We start from the raw sequence: 19,947 nt of genomic DNA on the forward strand, positions 1-19,947 counted from the left end.
CTCCCTTAGCTATAGAATGAGGTGCGGAGAGAAGCTGTGATCTCTACAGCCCCCTCTTCCTCAAGTGGCATGAACACTCTCTTTTTCTGGAAGGTCCCTTACCAACTGCTGGCAACCACTGCGAAGAGCAGTGGGCAGGTGGGTGCAGATGGCAGTGGTGCTGATGAGGGGTTGGGGGTGCTGGCACCTCAGGATAACTCAAAAGCGGTGCAGGCTGAAGCCCTTCCTCCCTCCTTCCTTCTACCTCCTGCCTGCTGAGCCCCCCAGGACCCAGCAGCTAATGTAATCGTCTCCTGGAATGCCCCATAATGGCCCTGCAGCAGTTTCTGCAGGCTCCGCCTCTCTGCAGGCAGCAGTCTGCGAGTTCAGAGGAAAATGAGCTCCCTGCTCTCGGGAAGGTGAAGTCAGCCTAGGACAGCGGCAGGACTGCAGCTCCCTCTGGACAAGGGGCCTGTGCAGCAGACCTCACCAGGTACCTTTCCCCACAGAACCTACACAGAAGCACAAGGTCCTTTGCTCCTTCTTTGATAAGGTGTCCTCTCTCGTGGTTGATTTCAAACTGTGTTGAGCTAAGAACCCTTTCTTTAAATGAAAGGTGTTATGGAAGCCTAAACAACACATTATTCAATAACGATTTCTTGAAATAAGTGTGTGTCAAATGCAGTGTCGAGAACTGGGTACCTGGTGGTAACCCAAACAGACTTTATCTCTGCCTTCATAGAGCTTGCTTTAGTGGGCAAATACAGCCATAAATGAGTAAATATTTACTAACTCTTCATTATGGTCAGTGTCGTGAAGGAAAAAAATGTGGGATGGCCTTTCGGTTGCATTATTAGGAACGATTTCCAGGTCAGGAAGTGATGCTTCTGCACCCAGCAGTACCTGTCAGTGTGAAATCTGGGGTGGAGACCAGGTCAGAGCTTTGGATGGCTGATGACACCCAGGAGGAAGAGGCAGCCTCTACACGCAGGTGGGACAGTGAGCCCCTGCCTTGTGGTCTGTGCTGAGCTTCCCCACAATGCAAGCCAAGGCATCAGCTCCCACCCACACCCCAAGGGACCTGCAGGAAACCAGGCTGCATTTCAACAACAAGCAGAAAGCACAGAGCTTTACACACAATCTAAATACATCAACCATTTGAAGATGCTAAACTCCATACAAGAGCATCACCAGACTCCACAAAAGAAAAAACTTATAACTGAGGAAACCGAGCTAATAGTCAAATCAGAACAGAAACTTATAATCTGTATACTTCGTATTTTGGAGAGATGTGGGTGGGTATCTATATGTCAAATGAGAGGAGATCATTACAATCAAGAGCTGGCAATTATGAAAAGAAACAGTGAAATTCCTGGGAGTGAAAAATATCAGTATTCAAAAATCTTTCTGGCTATAGTGAGGAGAATGAATTGCAAGGAGGTAAGACACACTTTAGCCAGGTAAGAGATGGTCGTGGCTTTGGCTAGGGTGGAGGCAGAGGAAAGGGAGAAGAGTAGATGGATTCAGAATACAGTTTGAAGAGTCAGCAGGACTTGCTAACCTCTTCAGCATTTGAGTGTGAGGATGAGGGAGAAGGAGCCCTCAGGGACGATGTCTGGAATGAACACAGAGCTGCCCCGGTTAAAGATGCTCAGGGATTATAATGCAGGGCCCCTGCAGAGACTGCGAAGGCCTCTTTACCCCTTTCCCTGCATCAAAATGAGGTAGCCCTGCCATCATACAATCCTCAAACTGCACCCTTCTTTCTCCTTATCCTATCCTTACCAGACACCCAGAGGGTTTGAAAGCAAGAGCCAAGCTGCATCCAGCACTGAAGGACCACTCTACTTATTCCTCCCTGATGTCTTCAGGGAGAGTCTGGCTGGTGAGGGAGGGAAATGTGACTGTTACAAGTTGGGTTCCCTTGAAAGCAGACTCTAAGATGGAGTTTTTTGTGTAGAATGCCTATTAAGGGGTCAACACCTGTGTAAAGAGGAGGAAGCAGTATGCAGAAACAGAAATTGAGCCAAGGTCAAAGAGAGCCTTGGTCAGTCCCACAGGTGCAGGGCTTGGAAGCTCAAATGGCCCTTCAGAGTTGTTTTAAGTTGGTCTGAGATGGCCAGATCTTTATGTGTCCACATCAATCAGTTGTTAGATTTGGGTGCCATGGGCAGGGGTGTGACATCAGTAAGGCTGCTCTCTGCAGCCCAGGCAACCTCTGTGTGCCAGCAGCACTCTGCACCACTGGGACTGCAAGTCCTTATTGAGGGGATCTACGTGGCACTTTACAGTGTTCACCATAGTGCCCAAGGCCAAGGTAGCCTCTCACGTGGCTTGAGGTACAGCCTTGTACATACCACGTTGTACCTTGTATGTACCTGGTCTGAGGTCATTCCTAAACATTACTGGGGAAAACCAGAAGTTCAGAAGCAAGGAGAGACCTAATTAAAACCAAGGAGACTATATATTAAGGTAGAAGAGTAAGGAATGGCTTTATATTAATACATAGTCAGCATAAAGCTGAAAACACTCACCCGTGGCAGACGGCATCATCTAGGAAGAATGTCTGGAAATTGATATTCTGCAGTTCAGATTTTACCAGTTCACAACGTAAATATCCTGTTGAGAAAAGCAAGTCTCACTCAGTTGATAAATATAACTCTCTCTGCTGCTTTCATTTCAGTTTCGAAATGACCAGGCTGGCAGTTGGCTGAGCCAGTCTCTTAGAACCCTTTGAAGCACTGGATGCAGGCTGATGAGCTGCCATAAACGTCTTTGAGTCCCAACACTGCTCAGGAACTGCATATCATACCAAAGTCTGCCTGTGTGATCCTTTAATTTGTGAATGTAAAAACTGAGGTGGGAGGCAAATACTGATGTTCTCAAAGACCCGTCTCAGCTATTCCATTCAAACAGAGCCCAGAATCTTCAAAATTCTGCTTCTTCAGCTTACCTCCTGTCTCAGGCTGGTTCCCCAGAAGCATCCCAGAGATGCAGATTTGTGAGAAAGTGATGTGTTGGGCAGTGTCCCCTGCAGGGAAGTGAGGATGCAAGACAGTGAGAAGGAAGCCAAGCAAGAGTGCAATGTCAAGCAAGGTCCCGTGCTTGCAGGGCACTGGCTCCTCCCACAGAGGAGATTTGGAGACTGAGAGCCCCTCCCTCCATTGGTCAAGGGCCATCTCAGAGGGATGCATGTTTCTAGGTATCCCCCACTCTCTCTGCACACAGGTAAAGGAGACTCCAGAAGCATGAGGGCAGCCCTCTCACAAAGAAGCATGGGTTCTGGATACCGAGAGTAAAAGCAAACGTGGAGCCAAGGGGTGTGAAAATGGGAAAGGGACCCAAGGAAATAGAGTAGTGCATCCACCATGAGTAAGTGCCACAGTCACTGGGTCAGCACCTGCTGTGTCCAACACCATGCTAAGTATCGTGGAGAGGAGAGAAGTTACTAGACTTCCCTGCTGTCATCCTTAATGGACTATTGTCTCTTCCCTAGACACCTCAAACTGGGATTTAAGGTACATAAGCTCTCAGAAATGGCTTCCTGGAATTATGGCCATGAACATCAGTGAACTGTTAGGGTCCGTAGTTACATCTGGAAAATGACTGCCGTTTCAATACACAGGATTAGTTACAATAACAGCAACAGCCATAATAATAATGTGGCAGAGACTAGCTTGATGCTCATCACATCTCTACCTGGGCACATAGCAAAGTTTTCTATTCCAGCTCCCACCCTGGATCTCGGGTCCTAGTTCTCAACAACGAAATGCTTCCAAGCCAAGTTAAAGCAGCCACAACTTTCAAACGAAAACCTAAAGATCCTGTGTTGAAGACAGTGGCACCTTAAAATGCAAGGGCAGTATCCTTGAGTCCTCAGGTCACCAGAAAGCCACCCGATCAGGACCATCGACACTAGACTCTGTGTTAGTGAGAAACAAACTTGTGTTAAGCCATCATGATTTTAAAGTTGTTAGCAGTCAGCTTGCTCCAATAGGATGAACACTAATAAACATAGCGGTAACAACCTGCTGGGTAGTATCATTATTCTCACTTTGTTGGTGAGGAACTTGAGGCCCAAAATGGTCAGAAAGTTAGCAGATGGCAGAGCTGGTATTTCAAGTCTATTTTTTAATCCCTATCTTGCACTCCTTGGTCACGTAAACCTTGTGTGAATATGTTTGATGCTTTAATGGAGCAAAGAGGAGAATATTAAAATACCAGGTTTCTTGGGTGGGATGTGGAGTGAGGAGGAAGAACACAAAACGGAAAGGCTCCACGCATCAGAAGCCAAGCTTTGGGCACTCCACAGTTTTGCTAAAGACTTCCCTGTCTGCTCACATCTGGTCTGTTCCCCAGTATCCTCACTGTATTAAAGTTGTTTCTTTGTCATATTTTGCTCTTTTTTCTGGTGTGATTCTATCAATTACTTGCTACCAAGGAGAAGAAATGAGATGATCAAAGGGGCATCCCCCAAATCCCCAAGGCTGTGCCCCTCAAGTTCAAGAAGAGAAAGCAGAGAACTCTTGTTTAACATGGACGTGTTAGTCGCTGTCCCCTCTGCCATCCCCCAACTTCGTTGTTCATAGAACTCTGATTTTGTTCATCTTATTCCAAGTTACCAAGTCCTTTAGGGAAGGCTAGGCTGCCCTCTTACCCAGGACTGAGAGTTCATGGTTGAAGCTAGAGAGGACGGAGTGATTTCCCCTGCTAAACAATTGGTTCAGGCATGTGACGCAATTGGGCCAATGGAGCTAAAAAAGGAAATCTGCTGATGGGGCTTCTGGGAAGGTTTCTCTTGGAAAAAAAAAGAAAAAGCCACAAGATAAAAATGTTTGCTTTTCTGCCTCTGGACTTGGGCTCTGTGTGTTGTTCCTGGAACCAAAGCACCTTGGGTCCATTAAGACAGCAGCCTATGAGGATAAACCAGAACACTGGGGATGGCAGGGTAGAAACATCGAAATAACCTGGATCTTTAAGACACTGGTGAGCTGGTGAATTAATCAACCCTGGAACTGCCATCCCCCCGGACTTCTTCTTATGTGAGATAACAAACCATCTAATTGTTCCAATTATGATGAATTAGGGTTTCTATTACTTGCAGCCAAATGCATTCCAAATGACTCAACTGATATTTTGTTCCATGTTCTTTGAGAAGAGCAGAGAAAGAGTTTCTGACTACCACAACCCCTTTCTTAGTGGCTCAGTCAGCTTTCTAAGTAGATTCTTAGTTTATACTCTTTCCCACTTCTCTTACTCATGATTCCACTAATCTTAAACCCCACATGTTAGAGAGAGGCTCTGCTGAATTCCAGCGTAACAAATTCTCGCTTTTACCCTCCTCCCCTCATTGGCCACCTGCCTGTTCTTATGGTTGTAAGCAGGAGAAAGATGTTGAAAACCATGAGTCCTGACAGTGCTTAGTCAAGTGATGGCAAATGTTTTCTTGGGTTTCCATATGTGAGTAATTGAAAAAAAAAAAGGGGGAAAAAGGCTCATTTTTACTAACATTAATTAATTCACACAAGGTCACATTTTACATCATTTTAATTAACTTTCATTGAATTCATGTTCAAAATGAGAGGCAAAAAAATGTTCACTAATATAAGTCATGAGGACCCTAGGAATAATAGCATCGCATAGAAAATTGGAAGGAAAATTTTTTCCTTCTCATCGGATGCATGGTGGGGTTTGTGAATTCCTAACTTTTCTCCCACATATCCCCCTCACGGATGATAGGAAGAAATAGACTTGAAGGCATTAACTCTTTCTGGAAGCCTTTCCCAATACTTCTCACCCCTGCCTGTCTTCCTCCTCAGCCACTGGTTAGGTCCCCCATCCCTGTTAACACCCTGAAAACTTCCATCTCACAGCCACTACATTATCTTAAAATTAACTATTTACTTCTTCATTTCTCCCACAATACTGTGAGCTCCCTGAGGGGAAGAACTTGTGCTATTTATCTGTCTTCTAGCATGATACCTGGCATATATTAGGTGCTTAAGTTTATTGAATGAATGAAAGCCAAGAATACTTTTCCTTGGTTTCATTTTAATTTCACTAAGGATAATTATGTTTATATTGCTATATTACATCGTGTAAAATGGAAATTAAAGGGAAATTCCTTTAATAGTAGCACCAAAGGGCTGCATATGGCAGGGTAGGTGACAGACCACAGCTGGTGGCTGGGCCACTCTCTGAAACGTGGACTTAGGATTTGAGGGCTAGTCCTTGTGCCTCACACCTAGGATAACAGAGAAGTCCTAAAGTATGCCTGGTAGCACATCTGCACTCTTCTGGGTGGCTTCCAGAGATACTTTTGTTCCATGTTTTGGCTTTTACGACGGTCCCCAAATTAAGCAAAGGCATTTTTCTTAGCTGAGCTAACAATGATTCTCTAGATACTTGCTTATCTAACTTGTAAATCCCCTGCCACTCATTTGTTATTTGTCAGCAATCCCCTATCAGATGAAATTTCATCCCACTCGTGCTGTTGAGCACATTGATGTGCCCAGTTGGGAATCAAGCCCAGTCGCGGAACTGTAGGTGCTTTTTTGGTTGGCCCATTTATCTCTTTCCTCGTTGTCCACCAGCCACTTAATTCACTGTCCTTGTTCCAGCACACCATATGGAATGACCTTGCCCATCCCCATTTGCCACACCACCATGAAATAAACTGGAGGAAAAAGCAGTAATCTTCTCATCTTTCGAGAGGAAGCTTTCTATCTGGGAACATTTGAGGCTGATTTTCCCCATGCTTAGATTTACCTCGCTGTTGAAATTCTTAAGTATGTATACAGTGACCTGCTTCTAAGAAAATCCAGTATTCAGATTTCTAAACGTAGACCCAAACATTATTCATATCACAAAAAGTTCTCCAATTTCAAAGGAATTGTCTTCCTAGAACTCTTACAAATCAACAAGAATAAGATTGATATTCAAATAGAAAAATGCACAAAATATTTGGATAGGCATTTTCTTTACAAGGTTAGGGGATCTAACCTTTAAATGGCCAATAAACATAGAATATGCTTATTGCAAGTTAAAGACATAATCTAATACCAATAGACCCCCACCATAATAGTTAAAATGGAAAACAGGGCTGGGCGTGGTGGCTCACGCCTGTAATCCCAGCACTTTGGGAGGCCAAGGCAGGTGGATCACGAGGTCAGGAGATGGAGACCATCCTGGCTAACACGGTGAAAACCTGTCTCTACTAAAAACACAAAAAATTAGCCTGGTGTAGTGGCAGGCACCTGTAGTCCCAGCTACTTGGTAGGCTAAGGCAGGAGAATGGCATGAACCCAGGAGGCGGAGCTTGTGGTGAGCTGAGATCGAGCCACTGCACTCCAGCCTGGGTGACAGAGTGAGACTCCGTCTCAAAAAAAAAAAAAAATGGAAAACAGGAAATAGTACGTGTTGTCAAGGATGTGGAGCAACTGGAACTCCTACACACTGCTGTCGAGAGGCTGAATTGGTACAACTTCTGTACAACTGAGTATGCACATAACCTTGACTCAAAGACTCCACTCTTAGGCATATGCCCAACAGAAATGCACATATACGTTCACCAAAACACATGTACTAGGATATGCATAGCAGCACTATTTGTTATAGAATAAAACTGGTGGTTCTATGAATGCTAATTAATAGTAGGATGGATATCAAGAAATGGTGATATATTGACACAATGGAATATTTTACAGCAATGAGCACAAACTTACAACTACATAGAACACCATGGATGAAATTTACAAACACCAAGTTAAGCCAAAGAAGATAGACACAAAAGAGTATAAACTATATGAATCCTTTTAAACAAAGTAAAACCTGGCAAAATTATTCTATATTCTTAGAAGCCACGTTGGTGGTTACCCTGAGGGGGTAAATGACTGGAGGAAATGTAGGGGTTTAGATAATGTTCTGTTTCTTGATCTAGACTGGTTACATAGGTGTGTTCAGTTGGTGCGCTTTTGGGCACGTGCATTATAGATCAACAAAAAGCATTTTTTTTTTAAATACGTAATTCAATTTACAAAATGCCCATGCCATGTGGAACTTTCTAGAAACATATTTGCTGTCCAGAGTGAAATGCAGCACCTATGTTCAAATGGATTGAGTATTGTCCCTCCCACTATTTTCACTAGTTTATTAATTCTGGAAGGACAGGGAGTTGAGTTAAGCATTAGGGAACAATTCGTATACGCATGACATCGGATCCTGCATTTTGGAGTGTTATTTCTAATTGCTCCATGTCCACACACTCAAATTGAGAACCAGAGGACAGGGAACATTTTACATTTTCCTGCATCTCCAAGCCACCCCTTTCTCAATGCCCAACTGACCAAAGGATTCTTCAAAGGAACACAGCGCTTGGCTGGAGAGAAGGATTCCTTAGTCCTCTAACACAGTCATGGAAAAATCTCTAAGGCAGGTTCCCTGTCCCTTATAAAGAGAGCATTTATTACATCCTGGGAGCTCATGGGAAGCATCTCAGTTCACCCCCACACACTCTGTAACCTAGGCCCATTTTACTGAGGAGAAAACTGTGAGGCATTCCCCAAAGGGCCACATCCCTGGGAAGTGATGAGTCGGCACCAGGAGCCGGCCAGCCTCCACTGGCACACATACTGCCCAGCATTTCCTGGAGAAGGCCTCCCCTGCGATTTTAATGTTCATAAGTGGCTGCCTTTCTTCTGCAAGTAACCACCTGGGCTGCTGCTGTCCTTGGCCAGCAGTGTGTAGCTCTGATGCCCCCTCCTCCATCCTAGAGCCTGAGACAATCTATCAGGACTCACTTGGTGGTGCTGCTGGCTCTCCCTAGATCCCGGTGGAGCTCAAGACAGCCTCACGGGGCTCTGAATCTGCCTGCTCTTTCTCTGCCAGGAAAGAAGGGAAGCCCCTGGAGCTTTGCTGGCTTTTCTGTGCCAGGTGGAGCCCAGAAGACACCCTGATCAGCATCTGCGAGGATCTACTCAGGGCATGCAGCCCTTGCAGACACTCTCGGGGCTGCCCTGGTTAAAGACGATGGCTGGCCTCCTGAATTTCCCCCAGGCAGCTTGGTTGCAGGCTCCGCATCACAGCCCAGCTGGTCACAGCTCTCCATCTATTGATCACACCTGCTTAGCACTGCAGACATAATGCTGCTCAGTCATATTCTGAAGGCACAGTGCTACCTGGGGATGTGATTACAGCTCAGCTTGGTGAAATGAGCGGCTGGCCCCAAGCTCAGCCCAGCAGCCTTGTTTCTTCCAGGCCTGCTCAGCCCCACACCCAGGGGTAGCAAGCTTGTCCTGTGCCCAGTGCTCTGCTGTTGTCATGGAAATCAGTAAGGACAGCCTCACAGGTGGTGTCTAAATTGGCATGTCATAGGTGAGGGTGGGAAGAACATAAGTCACTGTGCCCAGGGTCACCTGTCCCCAGACCCCAATGCCTCACCTGCCCTCACCTGCCTCACCTGCCCTCACCCAGTCTCATTTGCCCTCACCTGCCCTCAGCTAGTCTCACCTAGCCTCATCTGCCCTCACCCAGTCTCATCTGCTCTCACCTGCCCCACCTGCCCTCACCCAGTCTCACCTAGCCTCATATGCCCTCAGCTGCCCTCACCTAGACTCATCTGCCCTCACCCAGTCTCATTGCCCTCACCTGCCCCCACCTAGTCTCACCTAGCCTCATCTGTCTTCACCTGCCCTCACCTAGTCTTACCTGCCTCACTTGTCCAGGAAGCTCCCAATCCATATCCAGTCCCCCAGGTAGGACCCTGCATTATGTTTAAGCCAACCTCCAGTGACAAATTTCTGCACTATCTGCTTCCCTAGGCCTGGGGAAGAGAAACTGCTGCATGATCTCAGCAAGAGTCGCAGAGTTTCAGTTTGGCTAGAACCTTCCAGGTCATCTGGTTGGTGTACATTTATCAATGAGGAAACAAGCCCAGAGAAGTTAAGTGACTTGTCCAAGGTCACACAGCTGTGTAAGTAGAAGTATGAAGGGAATCCAGGCTTCCTAATGCAACAGCCCCACACACATGACATTTCAGGTTTCTTTGAAATCAAGGAATTCCTCTAAGCCCTGGATGGATGACTACAGGTTGTGGTTTCAAGAGTGTCTGCTGATCTGTTTCCACAGGGAAGGCTGGAGAGATCTGTGAAAGGATGAGAATTCTAAAGGATAGAACACCCTAGTTGCTGGCAGAAGGTCACTTGCAGAAAAGTAGAGCAGAAACTCAGCTTCTGTTTGGGCAGCAGTAGCGGGGAGGCGAGGGGACACTTTTCTAGTAGTGTCCTGAAGAGCTGCGCTGGTCGGTGGCTGACTACCACCAGGTGTCAGGACTCCCAAAGTCCTTCCAGGGGAGGGGCAGAAATTGCTGGCTTCTCCTGGCATCTCTGACAGCAGCAGTGGTGTTCAGCTCATCTCTCTGCTTTGCTACAGTGTATCATTGGAACCTGAGAAAATCTGTCGTCTCTCCTGGATGCTTGGCATGTGGAACAACTGAGGCAGTGACAGCAGGCGTCACATCTGTAAGGAGCCACAGTGCAGCCTCTGTGGACACTTGCAGTATTCAGAGTGGTCAGAGCAGGGTCACATACTGGCTCATGTCCTTCTGGAGCTGGCAGCCCATGTAGTTCCCTCCTGTCTTCCCATCAGCCCCAAGCAGGGCCCATGTACCTGCTCCCCTCGGTGGTCATCTTCACTCTATTTTCTAGTCCCTTCACTGTGAAGATTCTCTTCAGGACAGAGCACAGGTTTCTCTTCAGCCAGTGTCACATGACACCTTTGTGTCTGTGGAGGCAGGTCGGGTGGGGGGAGGGTCGTCATATGAGGCTGGAGCAGGAAACAGAGGGACTCCGGGAAGGCATGTGGTTGGATGTCCTCAGGCTCAGCAAGTCTGCATTTGCTCTTCAGGGTTGTCCTTGCCTTTCTGCATCTCCCAGTAAAGCCCAGGCCCTTACCTGGCTTCACCTGCCCTCACCTGCCCTCATCTGCCCTCATTCAGTCTCACCTGACCTCACCTGCCCTCACCCAGTCTCATTTGTCCTCACCTGCCTTCAGCTAGTCTCACCTAGCCTCATCTGCCCTCACCCAGTCTCATTTGCCCTCACCTGACCTCAGCTAGTCTCACCTAGCCTCATCTGCCCTCACCTGCCCTCACCCAGTCTCATCTGCTCTCACCTGCCCCACCTGCCCTCACCCAGACTCACCTAGCTTCATATGCCCTCAGCTGCCCTCACCTAGACTCATCTGCCCTCACCCAGTCTCACTGCTCTCACCTGCCCCCACCTAGTCTCACCTAGCCTCATCTGTCTTCACCAGCCCTCACCTAGTCTTACCTGCCTCACTTGTCCGGGAAGCTCCCAATCAATATCCAGTCCCCCAGGTAGGACCCTGCATTATGCTCCCATTTTCCCTCCTCACCCTCCCCGCCCCATCCTCATTCTTCAGGTATGTGCCCACTCTCGCAGACTTGTGAAGGAACTGGCTGAGTACGTGGACCAGTACTCAATACCATGTACAGGTGAGAGCAGTGGCCAGTGACTTTGACAGCGTGCCCATTCCCAGCACCTTCCAAAAGTATCCATCCATCAGTGTTCCAACTCCTGGCCAGGCTCCTTGCCCCTGTGGACCCATTTCCATATGAGAGCTCTAGATCTTTTTCGACAAGAAAATCCGTGGCCCCACCCCACCCCAAAGACAGTGCTATGACTTTTAGAAGAAAATATTCTATTTGTGAGACAGAGTCGAGGCTCTGAAGCCAGAACAGATCTGACCCCTGGCTTTGCCTGCCCCTCACTGCCTGTCCTCTAACCCTTGGTTTTCTCATCTGTGTTGTGGGGATGAACATGAGGTCAACCTCACGGTTTGTGTGAAGGACTGAGTGAAATCACACCTACGAAGCAGTGGACCTGAGCTACCCCAATAAACGGAACCAAATGTTTGCCTTGTCAAACCTGCGGGCAGGTAGGGCATGTTCTATCATCAAAGGGATAAGATGTGCAAATGGAAGCCCAAGGAGTGGCCTGTCTGGAGGCAGAGGGAGCTCCGGCCATACCAAGAAAGGAAGGAGGACGCCTCCAGTCCCACCTCCTCAGCGTCCCCGTTTCTATTCTGTCAGCCTCGGTTCTTTGGTAGGTTTGGAAGATGCAGAGAGGGAAGAGTTATCTTTATGGCTCACATAGACCTGGCTGCATGCACAAATCCCAAAATAAAATCATTCCTCAGAGTTTGCCCTAACTGTCATTTTCTAGGTGAAGAAGTTAGGCCCAGAGAGGTTAAGTGACATGCCTGGGGTCACACAGGTGCGTAACAGCCTGTTCCCTCTATGCCCACCTCTGTGCCCCGAGGTGCTGTCCCTTTTTTGATTCAGAGACGTTTGCTCTAGGTTGTTCTTGGTTCACTCTTTTGCAGAATCCTGGAATCAGGGGAGCTCTGGGACCTTGTAGTCCAAGGCCCCTCTGGGGGCAAGAAGCCCCTCTGGAGCCCCACCTGACCCAAGCTTCTCCTGCCTTCTCCTGAATCGATGGCTTTGCCTGGCCAAGCCTTGTCCCTATTTTCCACAGCTCTGGCTATCCAGTGACTGTCCTTTTCCTCAAGCCTAAAAGGGTCTCTCCTTCAATTCCACCCAGTAGCACTGAGGCTTGGAAGAGGCTCCAGAGAGGGCTATGGTCAGAGCAGGTGGGACCAGGGTTTAGCTCATCCTGGATGCATGTAGCCCAGCAAGGGAATATCCAAACCTTGGGGACTGCGTGTCCAAGAAGTTCCTACTGCAGCATAGCAAAGCCAACCTTCCCAAGTGTCCCCAGTGGCCCAGAATCACAGCCAACCAACCCCCCTCCCCTGACAACTGTGTCAACTGTGCTGACTTCACCCCCAAACTCTAGTTCTGGAGTTTCCAAGGCAGGACAGAGTGTGCTAGCCTCCGGCTGGAGTCCATGTTTCAGATATCCAACTGCATCTCTATTAAATCCAGCCTGGAGTACTCATCCTATGTCCCAGCCCTAGAGGGGAGGACGGCAGCAAATTCCGAGAGGATTTTCCTCACCAGAGCTTACAGGAGAACAGACATTCAAGGCTGCTCAAGAAGCAGGTGGCTGCTGTTGTTGTTTTTTGTTTTTTTGTTTTGTTTTGAGACAGAGCCTTGTTCTGTTGTCCAGGCTGGAGTGCAGTGGCGCCATCTCAGCTCACTGCAACCTCTGCCTCCTGGGTTCAAGCGATTCTCCTTCCTCAGCCTCCTGAGTAGCTGGGATCACAGGCGCCCGCCAACACCCCTGGCTAATTTTGGTATTTTAGTAGAGACGGGGTTTCACCGTGTTGGCCAGGCTGGTCTCGAACTCCTGACCTCAAGTGGTCTGTCTGTCTCGGCCTCCCAAAGTGCTGGGATTACAGGCATGAGCCACCGCACCTGGCCCGCCTGCTGTTGTTTGACAATGTTGGGTATTCTTAGGGATCCAACTCTAGTTTTTAGGAAATGAACACAAATATTCATTTTTCACAACAGCCAACAATTATTTCCTTTATAAGTTCACATTCACAACCATTTTCCCACTCTAAAATTGGCACAAATTTGAAAAGCATGATATATAAAACCGGTGAGGATATTGTGAGGTAAACACTCTCATTCACTGATGACGTGAATTTAAACGAGAACAAGCTTTTTAAACAGCAATGGCAAAATGCATTCAGAGTTTAAAGCATCTATTCCATTTGGCTCAATTCTATACATGCACGGAAACAAAGCAAAAAACAAGGAAAATGCAACCCCCGCCCCCTCCCAAATCAAAGAACAAACAGGAGCTTTTTCAGGCCTCAAGTGAAGCAAGGCACGAGTCTCTCTGAGGAATCCCCGCCCATAAGACCTGGGAAGGTCACAGCCTTCACGCTGGCTCAAGGGGTTCTCCCCAGCAGGAACCCAGGCTGCTCCTCCCGGGACTGTGGCTGACAGGTAGGGAGCGCTCATAAGTCATAGCGGATATTATCACTACAGGGGTCCCTAACATCTCAGTGAACCCCCACTGTCAGGGAAACTGAGAAACTGTGAATGCAGCCCCAAAGCCTGTGAGAGACCACGTGTGGGCTCAGAGCCTCCCCGTCACCTCAGAAGGCCAGGGAGCCCAGAGGCCAAGCAGGGACTTCGGCAGGACCCGTCCAGTGGACCCCAAGTCGCCCTGTCACTCAGCAACCATACCCCAGCCCCAGGTGGCAGAGGAGGGCAGCCCCTGGGCGGGACAGTCTCGCCAGGCCACCAAGGCTCCTCAGCGCTTAGGCCCCTCGCATGATCCCACAGTCAGTTCACCCTCAAGCTCTCCATGGTCCCAAGTCCTCTGTCCTCAGCCTTCTCTACTGGGCTCATTTCAGGTAATTTGTTTTTGTTTTGTTTTCCCTTCTCATTTTCTTGCTCCCTCTGAGAGACTAATGTTCTAACAAAGATGTGCTGCTGGAACGAGGCATTAATTTCAATAGTCACCTAAAAGCAATTGCCTAGGAAATATCTCATTTTCCCATTAAACGCCGCAGAGGAGAAGCCTCGGGTGACTCCTCTCTCCCGCTCCCTGGCCCCCTCCTTCTCTGTTCTCCACCCCCTCCCCTCTTCCAAAAACTCGTTACAACCTGGACACTATTTCCACTCCCTGTTCTAAAATGCTGCCCTGGGCAGATAGATGAGCCCACTTGGCCTCTGGCCAGCACATGCCCCACAGGTAATTTTGTGGAAATCAAGCTGGGACAGAAGGGGTGTCTTTTTGGGAGCACAGGCAGGTGGCTCAGCTTGGTTCTCTGGGCTGGGGGCAGGGGCAGGCAGGAGGAGCAGGTGGGTCCCCCGAGGTCTCCTTTTGACGATGGGATGTAGCCTATGGGAGGGATGTGTTTCCAGGTCCTCCCTGGCCTTGTGAGACATCCCCACAGAGGCCCCTGTCAGGGGAAGCTGTGATCAGGGGTCAGAGCCTGGCACACATGTCACTGTTGACTTGAAAAAGTTGATTGAGCAAGAGAAGGGGTCTCAGTCCTCCCCTAGGCTCCCCTGTGTCTCCGTGGGGTGCCCAGGCCCTGACCACCCCCAACCGAGGCAGGCTCTTCTCTTGCACTCTGTTACCTTGACAAGCTGTCATCTGACCTCCCTCCAAAAAAAATTCATGATAACCTTCTCCCAGGGCTAATAATAATTATTATTCTATTTTTAATAATTAATATGATAATGTAATTAATATATAATTATTACATATAATAATATAAGTAAATATTAATAACTATAATATAATTAATAATTATTATTATTAAAAACAGCTGTTTGAAAGCCTTTTGATGTGAGACAGACATCCCTAGCTGTGTTTCAGCAGTACTTGTCAATCTCTGTATGCGTAGGTACCATTATCACCACCACAGTCCCCAGTTCACAGAGGAGGAGCTGAGGCCCTCAGAGGCTCCATAATGTCCCCTAAAGCCACACAATCTTGGCCCAAGATTTGCTTGGCCCAGGGGCCTGGACGCTTGATCTCATAGATGGTCTGTCCATGTAGCTTGCAACACTCAAGAAGTCCCTCTCCAGTGAGGGAGCTCTGAACCCTGGCAGTGAGGCCTCTCAGTGAGGGGGCTTCTGAGCCCTGGCAGTGAGAAGCTCTCTGTGACCAGGGGACCCACCCTGCAACCTCCCCACCATTCCATAGCTGCCAGCACCTGTGCCCACTTCGAAGCTTAACCCTGAATGATAAGAGAGACCAGGAGCCAACAGCTTTACGTACGTTACTAATGAGCCTCAGAACAAACTCACAAAAAAATCTTATTCCTACTTCACAAACAAGAAGTTGAGGATCAGAGAGGTTAACTCAAATGACAAAGTCACACAGCTTTTAAGTCCCCTGCTCTTGGCACCAGACTCAGCAGCTTTGATGTGTTTGTTCTCTTCCTCCCTGTTTTTATTGAGGGCTTCTGAGGTGCCCTCCTTCTCCATCTCCTCCCTTCTCCTTCTTCTCCTCCTCCCCCTCCCCCCCGCCTCCTCCTCCTCTTCCTTCTTCTTCTCCTCTCCCTCTCCTCCTCCTTCTCCTTCTCCTCCTTCTCCTTCTCCTTTCTCTTTTTTAAATTTAAGAGATGGGGTCCCACTCTGTCACCCAAGCTGGAGTGCAATGGAATGATCACAGCTCACTGCAGCCTCAACCTCCCAGGCTCAAGCAGTCCTCCCACCTCAGCCTCCAGAGTAGCTGGGAATATAGGCACACCTCACTACACCTAGCTAATTTTTAAATTTTTTTGTAGAGACAGGGTCTTTCTGTGTTGCCCAAGCTGGTCTTGAACTCCTGGGTTCAAGTGATCTGCTCCCCCTCAGCCTCCCAAAGTGCTAGGATTACAGGACTGAGCCACCATGCCCGGCCAAGTCACCCTTCTTGAACTTTGATTCACCAAGCTCTTCAGTCCAATTTTACACAAGTGTGAACTCAGGTGTGTGCTTGTGATTCTTTGTTCACACACAGCCAAGTTGGCACAAGAAGGTGAAACAGAGAAAGGCCTCAGTGTTTTTGGCCAAGCCCACAGAAGGCCACCTAAGCAGGCTGGATGCTGCCCAGGGCTGGGCCACAGCGTGTCCTTTGTAAGTCAGCCATCCCAGCCCCCGAACCCCACACACACACAAAGACACACACTTACCCCAGGAGCAGCCCCACAGTGCAAAGGAGCCCACACAGCGGCTAATGGCTGCTCAGGTTTGTGTGATCTGTCTGGGTTCAGGCACAACCTCCAGGGGCCTCTGGCCCAGGTTGCATCTTTCCTGCAGAGCAGAAAAAGCACAGTTAAGAAAACCCCAAGAAGGCAGTCAGTTTCCTCCCTTGAGTTTCTGGGGTGGACTTCCGGCAGAGTTTTTGGAGGACTGACTGTTGCAGTTAAACAATGTGTCTGGCAAGAAGCGAGACTTCCTCCCTTCCTGCTGCCTGGCTCATGGGGCTGCAGCCTCCTTCTGGAGGTGGCAAGAAAGAACTGTGGAGTCCGCGATCTAAGGGATCCCTGGCAGCCCACGGCAGCCAGAGAACCACATCCGCTGGAGAACTCTAGGTTCTCTACGGCCTCTTGTTACTGCCAGTGCTTGTGTGGCTTGAGGTGGGTAATGCGGCAGCCTCCTGCAGCTAGCCCAGGACTGGGCAGCATGGGGCCAGGTAGTTAGTGTAGGAGAGTGAGCCCAAGCTTGGAAAGCAAGACTTGGCTCTGTCACTGGGCAACCGGGCAACCTTTTTTTGGTTTGGTTTTGTTTTGTTGTTTTTGAGACAGAGTCTTGCTCTATTGCCCAGGCTGGAGTGCAGTGGCATGCTCAAGTCCTGCCTCCCTGGTTCAAGCGATTCTCCTGCCTCAGCCTCCTGAGTAGCTGGGACTACGGGCATGTGCCACCACGCCTGGCTGATTTTTATATTTTTTATTGACGGGGTTTTGTCATGTTGGCCAGGCTGTCCTCAAACTCCTCCCCTCAAGTAATCTGCCCTCCTCGGCCTCCCAAGTGCTGGGATTACAGGCATGAGCCACTGCGCCCAGCCTGGGCAACCTTGAAGAAGTTACTTAGCTTCTCTGAGCCTCAGTTTCCTCATCTGTATAATGGAAGCAATAGTGTCCGTTTTGCAGGGCTAGTATGCCTGGTAAATGAGAATCCTCATAAGAGCCTAGAAATAATAGTGTCATAATGCAGGTGGTTCTACTATTACCAGTGACTAGTATTTGTTGAACACTGACCATAGACTAAGTTTTGTACTGAGCGTTTTATATTTATTGTCCCATTTAGTCCTCCAAAAAATCTAATGAGATATGACCATCCCCAGCTTACAAATAAGAAAACTGAAACTCAAAAAGACCAGCAAGTGACCCCAGAGAACTGCACAAGGATCTGCAGAGAGTGAGCAACAGGAGCCGAAGCCGTGGGCTCATACCAGGCTCTCTTCCTGCCTCTTAAGCCCATGGCACATTTGGAGGGTGCTACCTGAATTGAATGGGTGTGCCTGTTGTTTTGAAGTTGGGGTCTACGGCCATACCACCCTGAACGTGCCGGATCTCGTCTGAAGTTGAGGATAGGCATCATCTTTCACTTCAAAATGAAGAAACGGAGGCATTGGGAGGTTAAGTCACACATAGCCAGCAAGTGGCAGAGAGTGAAAGGAACCAGCATTGATGAGCGCCTACTGTATGCCAAACACTGTGCTTACTTCAAGATCCTGTGATCTGCTGGGTGGTTTTGGAGATGTTGGAGTTTCATTGACTTCCTACACTGCCCTGAAGAGGTCTTATTAGTATTAGCCCCATTTTACAGAGAAGGGAACTGAAGCTCCGTGCATGTAATTAGACTCCGAAGGCTGTTGATGGATGGGGAAGGAGAGGGTCCCTCTCTGCTTTTAAGGAATGCATGGACAGTTATGATTCTGGCCTGAGAAGGAAATGGAAGGGGCTCTGTGCCCGTCCCACATATCCTGCCCCACACCCAGGGCCTCATGGATCCCACCAGGGGAGGCTCCTGGCTTCCCAACAGAGGAAGGCATCACTTCAGAAAGGGCTGTCCCCTCAGGCCTTCTGTAGGTGGCCGGTGGGGTCTAAGTGTGTGTGCCCTTCACTCCCCGCTTCATTCCCCTCATCCTCCCTGTGCTCCTGTAATGCCCACTGGACCACTGGAGAGCCCCCGCAGACGGCAAACAGCAGCAGAGCACACAACCAGCCCTCTCAGGTCTAGTAAAAGTGAGCTTCCTACAGAAATGCACAGGGGACTGAGATGAGAGTCGAGCAGGCCTGGAAGGATCCCGGGGAACAAACAATGCTGCAGGGAAGATGGAGGCCCCCTCGGCAAGCCGTCCTTTCTGGCCCCCGAGGAGCCCTGGGGTGGACCCTGGTCACTGTCTTGAACATGTGACTCTAGTCTTTTTCCTCATTTTCAATATCAGTAAAATGAACTTAAGCATGTGTTCCACAATGCGAAGGTTTATTGATTTATAAATTCTATAAATGTGCTACTGAGCTAATAAATGCATCACAAATGACATAAAAGTTGATATTTTACTAGGATAATAGGAAATCACAACTAGAATTTCTGATATCTTCTTCCTACGCCCCCAGCATTTTGTGGTGTGCCCCCTCTGGGCCTTGGGAAAGTGATACAGAGCCTGCAGAGCCTGGTACTATGCTAGGGTCTGGCTGTAATGGGACACTGCCCTTTCCTGCAAGAGGCCATTGAGCAAGGCATTTGGCACAGGCTTTGGGGTCAGACAGAAGTGGGTTCTGATCTCATCTCTGCCTCTGAGGAGCAGTGTGGCCTGGGCAATGACTTACCACCTGGAGCCTCCATTTCCTCATCACAAAATGGGGGAGATAATCTTCCTGTGCAGAGGTGATGAGATGATGACTGCAAAGACACAGCACGGTGCGTGCCACAGAGGAGGTGGGGTTCAGTCGATAGTCCTGAATCCTCCTGCTTACCAACGAGCTCCCGGTTCCCACCCATGCCAGGGAGGTCAGTAGGCAGCCTGGGTGCCTGAAGGTCCGTCCTAAGGATGAAGTCTAAATGGGGAGAACGGATGACTTGGGAGAGACGTCCCCACAGCTCCTCCTTGGCTCTGGGCACAGCCTTTCCCATGAGTGGTAAGTCGCGTTCCTATGGCTCCAGGTAGAATTCCACAAAAGGAAACATACACATACACAATCTTTATTTCATCCCTCTTCTGGCGTCCTCCCAGTTCTACTCACCCGTTTGTGAGTCCCTTTGATGACTTAGAAAGCACAGTAGAGCCAGCATAATCATTCTGCAGTGGTAGAATCTATTTTTGGCCTGGAATAGCCCCATGGACAGGAGACCTGTACTGTCCCCCATTAAGGGGACTCCCCATCCTATGCCATTTATCAGGACTGACACAGCCCTCATGAGGCCGCCAAAGAGACAGGACACCTCCCAAGCCACAGCTGCAGCCCGGAGAGGGAAACATACAAGCTCCCCACCTGGAGGCAGCCTCTTCCTGAGTGAGTGGCAGG

At 48.8% G+C, this 19,947-nt stretch overlaps 1 long non-coding RNA gene and 1 pseudogene across 4 annotated transcripts in view, besides 4 other annotated features; one reads left to right on the forward strand and one right to left on the reverse strand.

The window, feature by feature from the left end:
- Positions 1–16,799, reverse strand: part of LINC00539 (long intergenic non-protein coding RNA 539) — a 41,348-nt gene extending 24,549 nt beyond the window's left edge. Inside the window, exons 1-2 of one of the 2 annotated variants that reach the window (NR_103841.1) lie at positions 16,606–16,799; positions 2,514–2,598 (exon numbers count right to left, since the gene is read on the reverse strand). This is a non-coding gene — a long non-coding RNA (long intergenic non-protein coding RNA 539). The remainder of the gene's footprint in view (positions 1–2,513; positions 2,599–16,605) is intronic. The other variant, NR_103840.1, reaches the window with a different exon arrangement.
- Positions 1–19,947, forward strand: part of MIPEPP3 (mitochondrial intermediate peptidase pseudogene 3) — a 94,799-nt pseudogene that overhangs the window by 29,936 nt on the left and 44,916 nt on the right. Inside the window, exon 3 of one of the 2 annotated variants that reach the window (NR_038939.1) lies at positions 2,663–4,011. The exons of the other annotated variant lie outside the window; for it this stretch is intronic. The product of NR_038939.1 is annotated as a mitochondrial intermediate peptidase pseudogene 3, transcript variant 1 (transcript). Of the gene's footprint in view, positions 1–2,662; positions 4,012–19,947 lie in introns of those variants that run through there. 2 annotated transcript variants of the gene reach the window in all.
- Positions 8,942–9,524: an enhancer, noted in NCBI's record as "H3K27ac-H3K4me1 hESC enhancer chr13:21911141-21911723 (GRCh37/hg19 assembly coordinates)". NCBI's record gives its function as "activates a minimal SCP1, AML or CMV promoter by ChIP-STARR-seq in primed H9 embryonic stem cells {active_cell/tissue: H9 hESC(primed)}" and the evidence as "EXISTENCE:reporter gene assay evidence [ECO:0000049][PMID:30033119]".
- Positions 10,442–10,998: an enhancer, noted in NCBI's record as "H3K27ac-H3K4me1 hESC enhancer chr13:21912641-21913197 (GRCh37/hg19 assembly coordinates)". NCBI's record gives its function as "activates a minimal SCP1, AML or CMV promoter by ChIP-STARR-seq in naive H9 embryonic stem cells {active_cell/tissue: H9 hESC(naive)}" and the evidence as "EXISTENCE:reporter gene assay evidence [ECO:0000049][PMID:30033119]".
- Positions 14,148–14,651: an enhancer, noted in NCBI's record as "H3K4me1 hESC enhancer chr13:21916347-21916850 (GRCh37/hg19 assembly coordinates)". NCBI's record gives its function as "activates a minimal SCP1, AML or CMV promoter by ChIP-STARR-seq in naive H9 embryonic stem cells {active_cell/tissue: H9 hESC(naive)}" and the evidence as "EXISTENCE:reporter gene assay evidence [ECO:0000049][PMID:30033119]".
- Positions 18,537–18,740: a silencer, noted in NCBI's record as "fragment chr13:21920736-21920939 (GRCh37/hg19 assembly coordinates)". NCBI's record gives its function as "represses an EF-1alpha promoter that drives an FKBP-Casp9 reporter gene in an ReSE screen in K562 erythroleukemia cells {active_cell/tissue: K562}" and the evidence as "EXISTENCE:reporter gene assay evidence [ECO:0000049][PMID:32094911]".

Source organism: Homo sapiens, chromosome 13, assembly GCF_000001405.40.
Source record: "Homo sapiens chromosome 13, GRCh38.p14 Primary Assembly".
Lineage (NCBI taxonomy): Eukaryota > Metazoa > Chordata > Mammalia > Primates > Hominidae > Homo > Homo sapiens.